Below are 19679 nucleotides of genomic sequence, written 5' to 3'. Positions count from 1 at the left end.
CTCCCTGAACATGCTCAATTCATCCCACCTGGGGCCTTGTACACTACTCCATGAACACACTCACGTCATCCCACCTGGGGCCTTCTCACGTCATCCCACCTGGGGCCTTGTACACTACTCCATGAACACACTCACGTCATCCCACCTGGGGCCTTGCACGCTCTGGGCCCTCCACCTGCCAGGCACAATCCCACATTTGCCCAGGTGGCTCTTGGCATTCAGGCATCAGCTTGAGTATCCCCTCAGGAGACCTTTCCTGGCTCCCAGATCTCTGATAAACCCCTCCCACCCCTGTCACTCCAGAGCACATTAACCCCTCCCACTTGACGCAGAGCTCAGAGCCCTGATCAGAAATCACCTTGTTCATTGAATTTGGATCAGTGCCACCACAGATGGTGAGTTCCATGCAAGCTTCATGGGGCACAGCCACCCTACCTGTGGGTCACACCAGGGAGTCCCCGGTGCTGGAACGGCACCTGTACGCAATAGGCTCTCTACAGGTGTGCTTAATGAATATGCATTTCGTTAATCAGTTAACTAATTATTAGATTCATGGACTATTAGCTGTGGTTCCTACCCTTGCATCTGTTTTATTTTCCATACCTACTCATAGTTTTTCATGGAAACTACTGTGTTTATGGCTTTTCATAATTACATATACCTCTGAAATTTGACGAAATCTATAACGATTCCTGGCATGACAGCTATCTTTGTTAATAAACTTCGATTTGATTCAACTTCTCTTCCACTATGCCTGGCTTTGACGATTTGGGAGCTTAAGCAGAAGTGTTTATATCCTCTGTGACTTAGTAAAATGCTACCACACCTCTATACCCCCACAGTTTAATATCAACAAGACAACATGGGCTTAGGTACATTTAAAAACAAAATATTACTTAGTTTTGTGATGAATTACAGTTTGAAGAGTGTACCTTAGTTATCTGCTCTAGGATTATTTACCCCAATCTGCGGCACAAGTCCACGGCTACGTGCAAGCATGGTCGGCAGACGCTGGAGGCAGGGAGAGGGATGGACCAGTTTGCGATCTTGGAGGCCCCAGGGTCTGGTAGGGCAGCCGCACAGGCACATGCGTGACTATCCCAGGAGGCAGCACGGGAGGCCTCATGGTGGAGGCTCCAGTAAGGTGCTGGGCAGAGTGGGCGAGAACCTGGGAACTCTGTAGAATGAAGGGGTAATTGGTGGGGGGGGCTTGCATCTGGATTTTAACCCATGGAACTGAGGAAGAAGCCTCATAACTGAACAATAAAGAGAACAGAGGCCACAGAGGAGAGTGCCAGCCGGTGCTAGGAGCAGGAGAATGCCCAACACAGGAACAGCCAGAGGAGCCGCTGGGTCTCAACTCTGCTGGAACTCGGCTGCCAGGCTGAGCAACTCATCAGCGCCTCCTGGGAATCGCCGAGCACCTCACATCAGAGAAGAAAGATCAGAGCTTGATTCTGGGAAGATTCGTTTGCTGATAACGCGATGGGAACCAGCCCTAAGCTGCCATGGCCCTGGCTGAGGCCCCTTTCCCGGCGTTTCACCAGGACATCTGAGCTGGGGTGGCTTTTGCTTCCAGCTCACCTTGTGCTACAAGGACTTGGATGGTGAGCACTCAGGTGAGGGAGGGCCCTGTGCTGGGCTGCTGCCCAGCTCTGCTCTGCCATCCTCGACAGAAGTTCCCTCTCTCCACATCGCATGGGGTACAACACCCCACCTCGGCCACACTGCTTTGTCCAAAGCCTATCTCTAGTTTGTGGCTGTCCTTGGACCAGGCTCAGAGCAGCTGGACCTCCACCCTGGGAACTCCTGCAGACAGGCATTGTGGTTGGGACCCTCTGCATCCCCAGTGCCCAGGGCACACAGTAGGTACCTGGTGGTTATTTAAAGGACATGCAATGGAAAAAAAAAAAGGTAAATTCACATGGAAAAGACAGTGAGGTTTTAGACTCCTTTGAACATGAATACCAGACACGGAGGGCAGGCAGGGGCTGGTGGGGCTGATTTATGCCAAGCCTGGCACCAAGGGCTGGCCTCATCCTTGAATCTGACACCCATGTGACATCTGTGACACTCACTGAAAAGCACAGTTCGGGTCTAGGGAGCTCGCCCAAGTTTGTGTAGAATGAAGCACGTCTCCTCGTGGGGCCGTGGGAATATGAATAGCTGACAGCTGAGGAATGATTTGCCTGCATTCAGGGACTCCTAGGTGCCTGACCCAGGAGAGCAAGAGGACACAATGGTGACCTGAGCCGACATCACAGGGACGAGGAGATTGGGGTGTCTGGAGATGGAGAGGCTCTCAGACATGAGGAGACAGGGGCTGGCATCCAGTCCTTATCCGAAAGTACAGGATTGAAACTTGAAGGAAATCTGGGTTAGAGAAACGGATACAGGGTGCAGATGCTCGGATCCAGTGGTTGGAATCATGGGGTGGACAAGAGAGTGGACAGCAGTGTTGGCAGGAACTGGAGGGCCCCAGCGTGGACAGCAGTGTTGGCAGGAACTGGGGGGCCCCAGAAAGGCCTAGGGGAAGCCAAGATCGAGGTCCCAGGAGGAGGAGAATGTGCTGGGCCTGGGCTGCACCCTGCTGATGGAGGCAGGGTCCGGGCCAGGCCTTTAGTGTGAGTTCTTATCCAGAAACACCCTCTGCTCTCCCCAGCCCCTCACTAGCCCTGCCCAGAGGTCACAGGCGTCAGGAGGCATTTCTGACTAGGGCTTGTTCCATACCCTGGTCCTCTGCTCACTCCCAGACATGTGCGCCATGATGGTGAACATGCCTGAGGGGCTGGGGATGGACGTGGGCACCTCTTCTCAGTGCCCGCCCGCACAGCTCTTCACCCACAGACACTGCGCCCACTTCTGCCCTGTGTCTACACTTGCCAGACCCCCCACCGCCCTGGAAATTTGCAAATCCACCATGCCCAGCAACACCTCCCCAGCACCTGACCCGCTACCTGTGTCTTCCCATGGAGCCCTGCCCACCCCAGCCCCTGCCCTCTGTGTCTTACCACAGAGCCCTGCCCGCCCCTGCCCAGGCTCCCACTGCCATCACCCGCTGAGGTCTGAGGTCCCACCCACCCCTGCCGGCTGAGACCAGAGATGTCCACGACAAGGCATGGACGAGCCCCCAGTCACATCGTCCCATGGCAGGACCGACGGTTCCCACTGCCAGTGAACACTGTTCTTGAGGCTTCACTCTGTCTCTGTCTTCTCGAAGTGGACCCACTAACTCCACAGTAGGGCAGCCCCATGCTCCCAAGGTGCCACAGGGAATCAAGGGCAGGTGGAAGGGCCCTGTTTGAAATTAAAGGGGATTTCCCCGTGAGCTGGGGAGGAGCCCCGTGGAAGACCTTGTGGGCAGGGTGGCCCGGCTGGAGTGGCACCATTGACACCGTGCTGGAGATGAGAAAATGCTAGTGGGAGGCAAACAGACTTGACTGCAGGGTCACTCTGCACATCAACCAGGGTGCTGTCCATTCTTTCCACAATGATCATCGCCGGATCCGCAGGGCCGGCGCTCATGACCTGTGCAGCGTCAACACCGCCAACCCACCGTCCAGCAGTGCAAGTCAGGCAGCTCAGCCTGTGCTCCATGTTATGGCCACACCTGCTACCCCGCCAACGTCAACAGCAGTGGTCAGAGAGATCTAATATAAATGTATCATTTGGCATTCACTCTGGAAGGAAGCTCACCAATGGCTTGTAACACCACTGACAATGAATGGAGAAATGTGTTTCCAGTCCCCCCAACAGAAGGAGGACAGCGCGAGAGGCCACTTTTCATACCCTGTGGTTCCAGTCCACCCTAACGGAAGAAAGACAGCGCTAGAGACTGCTTTCCATGCCGCGTGGTCTTCTAAAAGCATGCTATTTATTTTATCTTTGTTGCTATGCTTTCATCTTTTTAAATTTTACATTGCCATTACAAAAAATAGTACAGATTTTAAAAATCTTACAACAGTGCTTTACATCTTATATCTTGGCCATTACCTGAAAATTAGGGCTTTGATTCAAGGAGAGCCATCTAATCCAGTGAGGCCATCCTCTGCTGTGCAGAAGGATATTCTTTACAGGGTAAGCCCCACCCGGCTGTGGCTGTGTCTCATGTAGACAGCTTGTTTGGCTCTATGCACATCTTTCTCTAAGACCTCTGATTATTTAGCAAAATTATTTAAATGGTGTATATAAATATTGGAAATTCATTTCCCTCCCATCAGGAAAATGACATAAGAAGTCTGTGGATGTCTGGAACTTTTAAATATTGAAGAGCCTACCCCCTGTTATTTCCCCCCACCCTTTCCCCATTCCTCCCCACAGCATGCTATTTGTTATTTTACATCTGCAGGTTTTATGTGGTTCTATTTGGCCTTTAAATCCTGTGTCTGTCCTATCAGCCCATGAACTAAAGGCAGGCCAAGTAGGGCTGTCTTCCCCAAAACTGCCAGCAAAGCTGCTTCATCCCTCGAAGGCCCCTGCACAACCTCCTCCCACCCACTGCTGCTCCAGGGCATCTCATGGGGCCTCTCCTGCAGGCCAGTGAGGCCGCTGCAGCCCAGAGTGCAGGCTTATGTCACCCCTGGCTTCAGTGGGGCCCTGCTATCACAGTGTGGAATTCCTGAGGTCTCTGAAGCCTGTTCTTGTGGTGTGGAGTTCCTGCAGTCTCTGAAGTCCTGTTCTCGTGGTGTGAATTCCTACGGTCTCTGAAGCCTGCTCTCGTGGTGTGGAGTTCCTGTGGTCTCTGAAGCCCTGTTCTCACGGTGTGGAGTTACTCTGGTCTCTGAAGCCCTGTTCTCGTGGTGTGGAGTTTCTGCGGTCTCTGAAGCCCTGTTCTCGTGGTGTGGAGTTTCTGCGGTCTCTGAAGCCCTGTTCTCATGGTGTGGAGTTCCCATGGTCTCTGAAGCCCTGCTCTCGTGGTGTGGAGTGCCCGTGGTCTCTGAAGCCCTGCTCTCGTGGTGTGGAGTGCCCGTGGTCTCTGAAGCCCTGCTCTCGTGGTGTGGAGTTCCCGTGGTCTCTGAAGCCCTGCTCTCGTGGTGTGGAGTTCCCGTGGTCTCTGAAGCCCTGCTCTCGTGGTGTGGAGTTCCCGTGGTCTCTGAAGCCCTGCTCTCGTGGTGTGGAGTTCCCGTGGTCTCTGAAGCCCTGCTCTCGTGGTGTGGAGTTCCCGTGGTCTCTGAAGCCCTGCTCTCGTGGTGTGGAGTTCCTGTGGTCTCTCCCACAGGGCCTGGACCCCCTTCTCTTGGGTGACATAGGCATTCTCTCGTCCTGAGCTGCTGTCAGTCAGCAGGTTAATGCCCATGTGCTCTGGTTTCATCCTTTAAGACCCGAGGTCCCATTTGCCTCATTCCAGGTGCCTCTGCATGTGTCTGTCATCCTTAGAATGATGTGCATTTGAACCAGTGGAGAAAAAACACAGAATGACTGACGTGAGTTTTGACACGATTTTCGTTAGGACCTTGGCATGCTGGGTGCCAGAGAACCTGTTCTAGTGAACGCCTTTTACACTTCCAAGCTGTGCAATCTTGTGATATGCTCCATTTTCTTCTGCCTTGATAGCCAAATGCCAATCATTGGGGAGAAAAATTCTGCTGCTGAATGAGGCAGCGCACGATTTGCCCTCTGGAAATTGAACATTTACCTTAAGTGGTAAAAGGTGTTTTCCATACCTTGATATAAGTTTGCATAGGACTCTCTGCTTTCATAGTTCTCACTTGGGTATGCAGAACTGACATCTTTGTGAATTATTCTCTTTTCTTTCACTGGAGTGTTTAATATGCATTTTAAAATTGCTTCTGTACATATGCAGTGGATAAATTAAGGTACAGAAGAAGGTTTCTCAGTCTACACCATCCCTGGGGAGTTCTTTTTGCTTCACTTCAAGTAGTAGCTATTGTCGCCTCTGGCAGTGAAGTCTCTGTTACTTTACCAATGCTCTCATTACTGCATTCTAAAACGGTGGGTTTTTTTTCTTTCTTTCTTTCCCACTTTTTTTTTTATTGGCTTGGGATTTGTGTCTTAATCAAAGTGTGCAAGAAATGCACTTAATCGTAAAACAGGGTGGCAGTTTTACAAGATGCTTCAGTTAATTAGCACGGAATTGCTGGGGAACGTTCCAGGGGGGTTCCTGGTCTCCATTACATCAAATGAGTTTGCTGTGATTAATGTTATCATAGGAAATACCAAAGAAATTAATAACGATTAAGCCATTACTTCCAAGTGGCGCTCATTACAGCAAGAGCTTTAAGAAACCCCACCAACTTCAATTTCTCTGTCCTGAGGTGTGTCTATGCTGCACTGGGGTGGAATATCCCCAGACTCACCTGGATATTCTGAATTTTCTGATTCATTTTTCTTCCAGAAATCTTCAAATACGGATTCGTGATGGATAAGAAAAAAATAACCTTTTTTATTGAAGGTCTGATGCTTCAAAAATGCATTTATTCATTCCAAAAAATATTCAGTACAAGTACAAATATTTAGTATGTACAAAGCTCTGAGTTGGATACTCAGGGGTAAGAACAAAGATGAACAGAATCCAGCTCTTTTCTTGAAGAACTCATGGAGAAAACACCCACATAAGCAAGATGAATTACAAGGGTGTGTTATTAAATCTGTGATAGAGGCACAGGCAGAGGAAGAGGTGGTGAACTTTCTCTAGGATTATTTCAGCTGACTTTACTGGGTAAATGGGATTTCAGCTGCTTCCAAAAATGGTGCAGATTTGCCAGGCAGATGGAAGTCATGTGATGGAGTGGTGCCTCGTGCGTGCAGGGACAAGCCAGCTTTGGTCACTGGGCAGAGAGGGGGACCAGGGAGTGTCAGGGGCACTGTGAGCTCTGAAGAATGAGCTTAGAATTAGGGTAGGAAACACGAGAATGAGCCCCAGAGAGGGCATGCTGGGCACAGAAGCCACTCCACTGGCTGCACAGCTACCCCTGCTGGGCTGTCCATGTGTGTTGTGCTGGGCACAGGTCCCACCAAGGCTCACCAGGATCTAGGTCTTGCCCTGGGGTGGGCAACCTGTGGGGGGGGGGGTCCGCTCTGAGCGTGACAATGAAGCACACTGCTGCCAGTTACAGTGAGAGGAGGAAACATGCCCCTGCCATCTGCGCAGCTGCATCTGGCCACCCACCCGCACCAATGGTGAGGACGCCATCAGCGTGGCTCTGGCACAGCTTCACTCCCTGCTCTGCTCTATTTTCATGACTTCAGACCCTTGTGCTGGAATAGAGACTTTCCCCTTCTTTCTTCCCCTGGGATTGTCACCTCCCTGCTAGTTGGGATGCTGTCTCTGTCCCCCGGTTCTGCTGAGCAGAGCACCTGGGACAGTGTGTGGGTCTAATGAGCATTGCTTCCACGATGCTTTCTATTTGCCTGCAGATGACCTTGGGTACTTGTGTGCTGGTGTTTCTCAATGTGTGTCCTGAGCTCTTGGGGAGTTCATAGGGCAAAGGTGGCAAGTATATTGTGCAGTTATCCCTAAATTATTATTTCCAACAGTGTGGCCCCAGTGTCTAATACAAAACTGAGCTGGTAGAGCCCTGGCCCTGTGGGAAACAAATGTCTTTTACCTTTCCCTGTGTGTTCCTGGAACTGAGCCTCTGCAACTTCCTTGCCAGGGCCACCAATTTCCCCAGGCCAGCCCAGTGATGTTTTTCCTGGACTCATCCTCTCACCTGCATTTTCTTGGTGGCTGTGTTAAGTCCCTGCACCTTCAGGGATCCCGTTGGCCTCAGGAGTCTGGCAGTGTTTGTTTTTGCTACTCACTTATTTCTTGGGGAATTTCCCCCAAGACCCTCCGTTCATTTCTTCCTCTCCTCTCTCCCTTAGGAGATCAGGAGAGTCAACATCCAGGTCTGTGACTCCAGCCTTTCTCCTGTGCAAGCTCCAGGCCTGTTCAGGAGCTTTTCTGCTTGGGCCTTTCTCCACCATGCACAGCCCAATCTGTCTAAGCCAAACTCCCAGGTGCCCAAGGTTTCTGCTCCCACCAGGACTCAACTCCAGCTTCAGGCTCAGCCACCCCCATTCAGACCCTGTCCACAGCTTCCTTCCAAGCATCTCGCCTCCTCCACAACTCCCAACTCCATGGCTACCCCTGGCCCCCACCTCAGGAGGTTCTGATGAAACCCAGGCAGCACCCAGCCTGCCACCACCTCCCAGCTCCCCACTCATGCCCTTCTCATGATGATTTCACTTGAGAAATCAGAGGTGGGCAAGTGGCCACTGACAAGTGCAGGATGTGTGCAAAGAGGAAATACTGGCAGCCAGGCACAGTGGCTCATGCCTGTAATCCCAGCACATTGGGAGGCTGAGGTGGGTGGATCACTTGAGCTTAGGAGTTTGAGACCAGCCTGGGCAACATGGTGAGATCCCGTCTCTACAAAGAATACAGAAATAAGCTGGGCATGGTGGTATGCACCTGTGGTCCCAGCTACCTGGGAGGTTGAGGCAGGCAGATCGCTTTAGCCTGGGAAGTGGTGGCTGCAGTGAGCTATGGTTGTACCATTGCACTCCAGCCTGAGTGACAGAGCAAGATGAAAAAAAAAAGGAAACATTGATGCCATGGATATTGCAAGATGTTAACCCTTCATGTGCAGCATCTGACATGTGCAGTACAGACTCTCATAATTTATCCTGGATTAAAAATTTCAACGAGTATACATTTCAAAAGGAAATTCCTTTGTGGCTACCTGGACAAGGAGGTCTCTTGCTGTTTCTTCGGCACCTTCCACTGAGCCGACAGAGGTCACTTCCATCGCCCATGGGAAATGTGCCTACTGCTCGTTTTAACTCATGCATGGATATAAAATTAGTTCCCATATATCCCATCTACCAGGATCAACGGGATTTTTTTCTCTCACTCTTTTTTTTCAGCATCTTCTTCACTCTACACACAGCAATAAAATAAGTAAAATGATAGCAGGAATTTACTTGGAAAAAACAAAACACAAACCCTTCTAGGCTGTATGATGGGTCAGGAGACACCCAGGCTGGATTCTTCATCTGCAAGGATGACCCTGGAGATGTGCCAAATAGAGAAGTCAGTGTTTCAGGTCTGAGGAGCCCAGCCCCAGCCGGCACCTGCTGAGTGGTCGCAGACATGCGGCTCCAGCGTTCGAGCCTTGTTAGATCCCCTGGAAAAACAGAAGGAGGCTGGTTCACATCCATTCACACAACCCCGAGACCCAGAAACTCTTGAAAACCGAAAGTTTTCACAACTCACTTTGCAGCAAATCATGCCCTGAACAGATTGATGGAAGGCTCTGTGCCCTCCTCACTTACTGCAGACGATGCCAGTCAGCACAGGCATCACAGGTGCTGCCCAAGGCCACAGAGGCTGAAATGCAGTGAGTGGAATGGACACCATTCTGAAAGCTCTGCATTCCTAGGAAAGGTAACCTCAAGGTTTGGAGAGAAGGCCTGGTCCTGTATCCCCACTTCTCACAGTTACCGCTTGTTACATGGTGTCAGATGTTCAAGGCTGCCTTGTAAACCATAAAACACCATGTGAATTTTTTTAATATTGAGTCAGGTGCCACCCCCACAAATGATCCTGGAGTAGTGGGTCCTCCCCTGCCCTCCGCTGTAGTAATTTACTAGTGCTAGGTGGTACTGGGTAAACATCCAGCTCCCAGAAAGCCAAGTCTATAAAGGGAAGATACTGAAGAATGAAGCCAGTGTCCAAAGGTATGTTACTAACAAATGATCCAACTAATATTGTATTTACACTGGTCACACTGGTGTTCATCACAAAAAGAGAACCGTGCATGAGATGAGCTCATTGGACCTCCATGGACTTGTGTCCCATAGCTTTGTGGCTGCCCAGACCCCTTCTCCCTGGATTCAGCCTTTATTTTTCCTGATCATTCATCCCAAGGTAAATACATCTTCACTCACAGAGGGTCAGCCAGATACTTTTCAATGTCCACCCTCCTGTTTGTTGAGTTTTTCTCTTTTTAGGTATGACTGACTCTCAGTAAACTGCACATACATAACTTGTGCGAGTTGATGACTTGTGGAATGGGTCAGCATCGTTCTCCTTTTCCCCATGTCATGGAGTATTTGTCTGCCTCTGAGTGAGGACGGGGACACACAGCCCTCTCAGCCCACAGTCAGATTTCACCCACTCCTCCATTGCTTTACGGTCCAACAAACAGAAGAAACTCATGGCATTTACAACTCCCAGCCACGTAAATGAGATAGAACCTGCCACACAGAGTCTCTACCTGCACCTTCCATCCCATTTACCGTCATCCGCATTCAGAAAGGAGTGCAGCTCAGCCGACACCTTGACTTCAGCCCAGTGAGACCCGGGCTGGACTTCTAACCTGCAGAACAATAAGTTTGTCTGTTTGTTCTGAAGAGATAGGGTCTCACTCTGTCGCCCAGGCTGGAGTGCAGTGGCACAATCACAGTGCACTGCAGCCTCGACCTCCTAGGCTTAAGGGGTCCTCCCAAGTAGCTGGGACTGTAAGTGTGAGCCACCACATCTGGCTAATTTTTAAAAAAAATTTAATAGAGATAGGATCTCAATATGTTGCCCAGGTGGTTCTCAAACTCCTGGTCTCAAGCAATCCTCCTGTCTCAGCCTCACAAAGTGTTGGGATTATGGGCATGAGCCACTGCACCCAGCCAGCCTGTGGGTTTTTTAAGCCACTAAGTTTGTGGTGATTTGTTACAACAGCAGCCAAAGAAAACAAATATACTTTCAAACACAGAACTTTTTAGAATGCAATCCTTTTTAAAAATGATGATGAGAGTGGTGATGAAGATGATGGTGATGATGATGGTGATGACAGTGATGGTGCTGATGATAGTGACCATTGTGATGATGGTGATAATGGTGATGGTGATAATGAAGATGATGGTGGTGATGAAGATGATGGTGATGATAGTGATCATTGTGATGGTGATAATGGTAATGGTGATAATGAAGACGATGGTGGTGATGAAGATGATGGTGGTGATGAAGATGATGGGGATTGTGATGATAAAGATGATGATGGTGATGAAGATGTTGATGGTGATAATGAAGATAATGGTGATCATAAAGATGATGATGGTGATGGTGATAGTAGTGATGGTAATGATGAAGATGATGGTGATGATGATAGTGATAATTGTGATGGTGATAATGAAGATGATGGTGGTGATGAAGATGATGGTGATGATGGTGATAATGGGGATTGTGATGATAAAGATGATGATGGTGATGAAGATGTTGATGGTGATAATAAAGATAAAGGTGATGATAAAGATGGCGATGATGGTGATAGTGATGAAGATGATGGTAATGATGGTGATGAAGATGTTGATAATGAAAATGATGGTGGTGGTGAAGATGATGGTGGTAATGAAGATGATGGTGGTGATGGTGATGACATGAAGGAGAAAGAGGAGTCTCAGGAAACAAAACAGGAAGCCTTTTCTTTCACAGGAAGGCAGTTAAACCAGGACAGCAGTGTTGCTTCATAAATAATAAAACACCAGCCTAGAACATGTTTTCAAAGCAATTTCCAAAGAGTTTATAGGCCACCGAGATAACTTTTCTTAGTGAGAAGAAGTTCAATGTGGCTGAGTACTCCTGTTGGAATTAGACTTTACAGGGATAAAACTGCAGTTCTCCTGGCACCTGCCTGTGAATCAAGCTTTCTGTGTCTCTGTGTCTGTGAAACTGGGATTCCAGTGCCCCATGCATGCTTTGGGAAGCTGATTCCACGGTGCTGGTCAAAGTGCTGGGCACAGAGGCGTTCAGTGGCTCTCGAGGGCTTCCTGGATTTCCCACACTTATTTGGAGGCATTTTGGGAAGTGCACTTTTGGGTTAAGTTTTTGGTAATGAGGGGGCTCTTATTTTTGAAGCAGCACAATTCTTCAGAAAGTCATAAAATAAGACTCTGAAATGCTATCTGAGCATCTAAATGTTGAGTTGGGTGTGGGGCAGAGAGTGAGCAGTGATTTAGGAGAGGGGAAAGAGAAGAAAGAAGATGATAAGAAAAGAACACCTTGATCTGAGAGCTGGAACCTGCTGGGGCTCTGACCCTCCTGAGGTCCCAGTTCTCATGGCACTGGGCCAGGCCTGAGGGGTGACTGGGGAGAGCCACCCTGTGGTGATGTTTGAGTGGGACCCAAATGGGTGTGTAGGGTTGGAAACCTAGAAATTTTTATTAGTGCTGACTTTGATTTGAACCTTGCTTCACCCCCTCAGCTGTGTAAGCTGGGAATGCCAAATGGTGTTGGGAAGGCTCAGTCTCTCGATGGTGAGATGCTTGCGGTGCTGTCGTCTGTCCAGTCCAAGCCAGGAACCCTGGTGAGGGGCACCGTCTCTTTATGTGCTATCAGGAAAGGGCTATGCTCCAGCTAAACTCTCTTGCCAGTGTTCATAAGAGGCATCTTGACTTCAGAGGGGTTACACTGTGAAAAAGGGTTCGTCTTGAAATTGATGAAATATGGTAATCTTCATACATATGGAGTCAAAAACTAAGTATTTAGCACAAAGTGGGTACTCAAAGAGTGCTAGCTCCCTTTCCAACTCTCTCCCACAAATCTACCTCCATATCCTGTTTTCAGGTCCCTGTCTGGAGATCCCTTTCTTGGTGTTCTGGAATTTCCTATTGAATGAAAGCATGTCACCTACTGATGAAGGGGCCGGTGTCCCTGTTTGCCTGGGACAGCCCTGCCTTGTGCCTCAGATCCCTGTGTTCCGCTACGGCACTGACACTCACTCCCAAAGGTCTCTGTTGAACATAAATTATACCATGGCCCAACTGACAGAGTGCAGGGCACTCACAAACCAAAGCCCTGGCGAGTCTGTGCGGTGGAGAAATTGGGGCAAGAGGAGGATCGTCGAAAGAACAGGCCATGGGGATCAGCCAGGGTTGAGTGGGGTGGGGTTTCACACCAACCTTCAAGTGGGAAGCTTGAGGAAGGGAATCAGAGCACCCAGTGCCAAGCTCTGAGGTGAGTCGGTCAAGTCCATGATGCTGCCTCAGGTTGGCCCTGGTGGTCACAGCTCCACACGCCAAGTAAGGCCATCACAGGGTGTTAATGGCGTGAGACAGACTCAAGGGCCCTGCTGCACCTGCTCCTGTGTTGTGGCCTGCACGGGGTTGTGGATGAACTGTTTTGACCAAATTAGATTGGCAAACATTTAACCTCAAATGGATGAATTCCCCTCATTCCCAAATCACCCTCAAGTTTAACTGTCTTGACTCATTCAGGTGATTTTTTTTTTTTTGGTAGCACAAAACTGGAATGTTAGGGTCAAATGTCATCCTAATATGCTAATAACCATCCAGCCCAGCAGTTGCCAACATCTTGCTGATGAATTAGCCTGGGGGGTGGGGTCCAGCTTCCACATCTCTACATCGCCCCCAGTGATCCTCTGTGCGTGTGGGGCGGACCCCAGTCTGGCCTAGTGTTTCTGTAGACGTGGGTGTGTGGAGCATCTGGGAGCTCCAGCCCAGGTCGGTGGGACCAGGACCAGAACTCAACACTACCCCACCCAGCTGTCCCCATGGTGTGCCAGTGGGAACGGGGGTCCCACACAGAGGGAGGTCACTGCGAGGTGGTCGTGCCCTCAACAGCCTCTTACAGATGAAGACTAAGATCTATTGGGAATAATCTTTATTAAAAAAAATACTGCTTGAACTTGAACAGGGCAAATAACATGTAATTAGGACTTAATGACTGGGTGCAGTGGCTCATACCTATAAATCCCAGCACTTTGGGAGGCCAAGGCCAGGAGTTTGAGACCAGCCTGAGCAACATAGGGAGAACTCGTCTGTCCAAAAATAAAACAAAACAAAAGGATTTAATGATAGAAATTAAGTTTGAGAAATGTAGCAACCCCGGCCATTGGACTGGAAAGATGAACGAGTTAGCCCTGTTCTGGCATCTCCCGGGTGGACTAGCACCGAGGTGCTGTGACAGGAAGCCAAGGGGACCTCACTGAGAAGCGGCATCGTCTGCCCTGGGGATGGGGTGAGGGCATGACCACAGATCTCCCCCCTGCAGACTTCTCTCCCAGGCCCGAACTGTGGCCTGTTTCCACTCAAGGCTGCCTGGCCATTATGGAAATTCTTTATGTGTGGAACACATTCTCAGAGAACGTGTGAAGTAATTACATCCAAGCTGATGGGCTGGTTAGCAACTGAACTGATGTGTGTAACACGTATCTATGTGATTACTTTTAAGAACTGGGTCTTAACCTCAGACATGGTGCTTAACAAGAAATAATAAAACCAAACCAATTCTTAGTTATTTTAGTCCTGGGACTCAGGGCTGCTTTCAATAAATTGTAGATTGCTCCAAAACCTTGTTTCTGCCATTAGTTCCAGTATTGTCCACCTTATTTTTTCCAGGCAACAAAGTTGTCAGTTTTCTGCTTCTGGTCTTAAACACCCCCAGCCCGCTATTCTACAGCGTGCACACAGGAAGGAAAGGATGCCGCAGAAGGGAGGGACTGTCTCTGACTGCAGGTCCACCTGAGGCCAGGAGACTGCCCGGCTCAGCCTGCAGGCTTGCATCTGACTTGCACCGTGGCTGTCAGAGCTGAGAGTGTGCGTCTGCTGAGCACGTCTGTGCTGGGCGCTGCGCTGGCTGAGTGTCTGCCGTGTGGACTTGCTTCTCTGCATGCTGCCTTGCGAGGTGGCCTCATCACCCCATTTAAAGACAGGAAAACCCCGTTCATAGATAGGACAGTATCAATGACCTGCCAGCATCCCATGGCTAAGGGCATGTTCCTCACCATTTCAGGGCTCAAAGACTACCTTGCTCAAGGTTATCCAAATAGTGGGGAATGGAACCAAGAATGCCACAGTCTGTGGGTTGATATGACCCTCTAGTCCATGCCATATATGGTCCTCATTTGTAAATTCCTTCTGGGGTGAGGCTGAGATTATTCCTGACTGGTTCACTTTGAACCTCCCCATGTCTGTAATAGGAACAGGTGTCACGAACCCTTCCTATGCTTGTCACTGAAAACCCTTCCCACCGGACTCTTCCAGCTTGTCCACAGGTGTTCCTCAAGTACCTGCCATGTGCAGGCTGCACCTGACCCCGGGTGTGTAGGTACCAATAAAAGGCCTGGGGTCTGACTTCAGGAAGCTGTAGTCTTAACATTGATGAAAATAATCTGTGTATTAAATAGTGTAAAAACTAAGCACCCTTGGTCTGCTGTCCTGGATCAGGGTGTCCTCTAATAATGAGAGACCTGCTGGTGACCGAGTTTGACAATTCTATTCCTCTGTGTATCTGAACATATGCATTAAAGTCAACACCAAGGAACAGGAAACGGGAAGGGGAATAACGCTCCCGCTGGGGGAATAACGCTCCCGCTGGTGGAATAACACTCCTGCTGAAGTGTGGCCATTCACATTCGGATCTCATCCTGCTGGCAGCGGCGTGTTTTCATCGACCAGGAAACACACAAATATTTGTAATCGTTTATGCTAATACGCAAACATTTTAAAAGCACTTTGCTTCTCCTTAAATTTCAAAGAAAAATAGAAGACTCTGGATTTTTCAAATTAGAAAATGACCCACTTTCTTCTTCACTGAAACTGTTTCATAAAATACTTTCACATCCTGTGTTTCCCGCCAGAGTAGGGACTGCGCCGCTTGTGTGCACCCGCCGGGCACTGAGGCCTCTTCAGCAGGAGGGAAAGTGAGAGGGTGGGACACAGAGTGGCTCTTCCAGAGCCTCCCACACACCCCGGGTCCAGGTGTGGCCGCCGGGTCTCCACACACCCCGGGTCCCGGTGCGGCCGCCGCCGGGTCTCCTGGGCTCACTGTGACTCAGGAAGCCTCTTTCCCACTGGAACTCATCCTCCATAAACCTGACAGAGGCTCATGTTCGGGCTCCCATAAGTAGACACATGTGTTTAGTGCCTTAGAATATGAGTGCCGAATTTACTAAGTGCCTTCGAGTGTGAGTGCTGAAAGGCAGTCACCTGAAAATTTCATTTTACAAATCAGGAAACTGAAGAATAGAGAAACTAAATAACAAAGCCAAGATTACACCGTTATTAAATGGATGCTTTAATGCTGAGACAGGTCTCTTGGGCACTAGACCACTTTCCTGCCCTCTTTTTAAAATTGTTGTTGTTTTAATCGACTTTTTATAATTTTTTTTTTTTTTGAGACAGAGTCTGTCTCTGTCATCCAGGCTGGAGTGCAGTGGCACAATCTCAACTCACTGCAACCTCCACCTCCCGGGTTCAAGCAATTCTCCTGCCTCAGCCTTCCATGTAGCTGGGATTACAGGTGTGTACCACCATGCCCAGCTAATTTTTTTGATTTTCAGTAGAGATGGGTCTTCACCCTGTTGGCCAGGCTGGTCTCGAACTCCTGGCCTCAAGTGATCCACCTGCCACAGCCTCCCGACGTGCTGGGATTACAGGCATGAGCTACCACGCCTGACCTTATAATAATTCTTAATATCTATATTGTGTGCCATTGTGAAATTTTTGGAAAAAATCAAAAGAGGAAAGAAAAATATTTCTTCATAATCTCTCTAATAAACTATAACTACTGTGAATATTTTGGCATATTTCCTTCAAGAGTGTTACAGATACATATTTTAATATAATTGAGAATTTCACTTCCATGGTTTTGGTTTTTGCTTGTTTTTTGTTTTGTTTTGGTTTTGTTTTGTTTTTGTTTTTGAGACGGAGTCTCGCTCTGTCACCCAGGCTGGAGTGCAGTGGCATGTTCTTGGCTCACTGCAACCTCCCCGTCCTGTGTTCAAGTGATTCTCCTGCCTCAGCCTCCAGAGTAGCTGGGATTACAGGCGCCCATCACCATGCCTGGCTGATTTTTGTATTTTTAGTAGAGACGGGGTTTTGCTGTGTTGGCCAGGCTGGTCTCGAACTTCTGACCTCAGGTGATCCACCCGCCTCAGCCTCCCAGAGTGCTGGGATTACAGGCGTAAGCCACCATGCCTGACCATGTTTTTTTGTTTTTGTTTTTGTTTTTCATTTATCATTGTATCATAAAAATATCTTGGTCTTTTCAACATTTGTAATATCATTTTAACGGATGAATAATTTTTCATCCATGAAAATATATTTACTTAGCTATTTCCCTATTCTTAGAGCTTTTATTTCTATATCTAATGTTTACTGCACATTTTTTAAATGGAAAGAATTAAAGATGTATTTTTAAAATTGAAATTAGATGGTTAAAATGTATCTATATTTTATCTGTTCTTGACATGTGCCACCCAACTCCTTTTTCAGAAAGGTTTTATTGATTTACAGTTTAAAACAGCACCTGATTATGATTCTTCCCATGCTTCTTTTGCAATGATGTTTTTGTTATGGTAAAATATACATAAAGTAAAATTTACCATTTTAACTATTTTCACCTGTACAATTCAGTGGCATTAAGTACATTCACAGTGTCATGCAACCATCTCCACCATCCATCTCCAAAACTTGTTCATTTTCTCAAACTGAAACTCTGTATTCACTAAACAAGAACTCCTCAACCCCTCCCCCGGCCCCTGGTACCCACCGTTCCACTTTCTGTCTTTATGGATCTGATGACCCTAGGGACCTCAGAGAAGTGGGATCATAATATTTGTCCTCTTATATATACAACTCATTTCCCTTAACATAATATCCTCAAGGTTTACCCGTGTTGTAGCTTGGATGAATGTCCTTCACTTTTAGGGCTGAATAATACCCCGCCGTGTATAGACCACATGTTTTTTATCTGTTCTTCCCCTGATGGGCACTCAGCTTGCTTCCACCTTCTGGCTGTTGGGAATAGTGCTGCTATACATGTCAGTGTAGAAATATCCATTCAAGTTCCTGCTTTTGCATTACTTGAGTGTTTACCTCACGTGGAATTGTGGGGTCAAATGGTAATTCTATGTTTAATTTTTTGAGGAATTCTCAAGCTATTTCCCAGTGTGGCTGAACCATTTTACATTCCCACTAGGAGTACACACGAGTTTCAGTCTCTTTACACCCTCATGAGCCCTTGTTTTCTGGTTTTCTGAGGATGGCCGTCCTGAGGAGTGTGAAGTGGCATCTCATGGCTCCTGTTTGCTTTTGCCTAATGGCTGGTGATGTTGAACAGCTCACCATGGGCTCACTCTCCATCTGCACGTCGTCTTTGGAGAAATGTCTATTCCAATCCTTGCTTCTTTGTTGTTGGGTGTAGGAGTCTTACATATGTTCTAGATACTCCTAATCAGATATGTAATTTTCAAATGTTTTCTCTCATTCTTTGGGTTACTTTTTAACTGTTTAGATAATGTTTTTTAATACACAGAAGGTTTTAATTTTGATAAAGTGCAATAAAGTGCAATTTGTTTATTTTTCTTTGTTGCCTGTGCCTTTAGTGTCATACTGAGAAATCAGTGCCAAATCCAGTGTCATGAAGCTTCCCCCTAAGTCTTCCTAGAGCTTTATAGTTTCATCTTGTAAATTCAGATATTTGATCAGTTTTAAGTTTTGTATATGATGTAAGTTACAGGTCCAGCTTTATTCTTTTGCAAGTTGTCTGAGAACCATTTGTTGAAAAGCCTATTCTTTTCCTCATTGAATGGTCTTGGCACAATTGTCAAAAAGCATTTGTACACAAAAGGGTTTACTTCTGGGCTCCGTTTTATAGTCCATTGGTCTATATGTCTGCCTTTCTGCCAGGACCATGCTGTTTTGATTACTATAGCTTTGTTGTAAGTTTAAATCAGCAAGTCTTCCAGTTTTCTTTAAGACTGCTTTGGTTGTTTGGGTTCCCATGAGATTCCATATAAATTTTTGGATGGGTTGTTCTATCTCTGAAAAAATATCAATATTTTTGGTAGAGATTATGTTGAATCTGTAGATCACTTTGGGTAGTATTAAAAGCTAACAATAATGAGCCTTATAATACGTGAAGATGGGATGTCTTTCCACTTATTTGTGTCTTCTTTCATTTAACAACACTTTGTAGTTTTCAGTGTACATGTCCTTCACCTCCTTAGTTAAGCCTACCCTAAATATTTTATTCTTTCGATGCTATTGTACATGGAATTGCTTTTTAAATGTCCTTTTGGCATTGTTTATTTTAGTGTATAGAAGTACAAATGATTTCTGTATATTGATTTTATACCCTGCAACTTTACTAAATTTGTTAATAAATTCTATTAAGTTCTAACAGATCTCTTGTGTAAAATCTTTATGATTTTCTACCTATAGGATCATATCATAAGTGAACAGAAACAATTTTATGTCTTCTTTTCTCATTTAGATGCCTTTTACTTATTTTTCTTGCCTAATTCCTGTGGCTGGCACCTCCAATACTGTCTTGAATAACAGTGGTGAAAGCAGGCCTCCTCATATTGTTCCTAGTCTTAAAGGAAAAGTCTTCCATCTTTTACCCTGGAGTGTTACATTAGCTGCAGATTTTTCATATATGGCCTTTATTATGTTGAGGTGATTTTCTGTTACTCCTAGTTTGTTGAGCGTTTTTATCATGAAAGAGGGTTGAATTTTGTCAGATGCTTTTTCTGGATCAGTTGAGATGATGATATGGGTCCTTTCCTTCATTCTGTTAGTGGGGTGTATTGCGTTTATTATTTTTTATGTGTTGAACCATTCTTGCATTCTAGGAATACATCCCACTTGGTCATGGTACAGCAATCGTTTTAATATGCTTCTGAACTTCCGAATTTTGTCTACTAGTATTTTGT

General features: G+C 47.3%; 1 protein-coding gene across 10 annotated transcripts in view, besides 1 other annotated feature; it reads left to right on the top strand.

Annotated features, from left to right (window-relative positions):
* PTPRN2 (protein tyrosine phosphatase receptor type N2) overlaps positions 1-19679 on the top strand; it is a 1048768-nt gene that overhangs the window by 610155 nt on the left and 418934 nt on the right. The window lies entirely within an intron of this gene.
* Positions 6834-7040: a silencer, noted in NCBI's record as "fragment chr7:157763321-157763527 (GRCh37/hg19 assembly coordinates)". NCBI's record gives its function as "represses an EF-1alpha promoter that drives an FKBP-Casp9 reporter gene in an ReSE screen in K562 erythroleukemia cells {active_cell/tissue: K562}" and the evidence as "EXISTENCE:reporter gene assay evidence [ECO:0000049][PMID:32094911]".

This window comes from Homo sapiens, chromosome 7, assembly GCF_000001405.40.
Source record: "Homo sapiens chromosome 7, GRCh38.p14 Primary Assembly".
In the NCBI taxonomy this organism is placed as follows: domain Eukaryota; kingdom Metazoa; phylum Chordata; class Mammalia; order Primates; family Hominidae; genus Homo; species Homo sapiens.
Note: the sequence above shows the minus strand (reverse complement) of the source record. Positions and strands in the feature narration are given on the sequence as shown.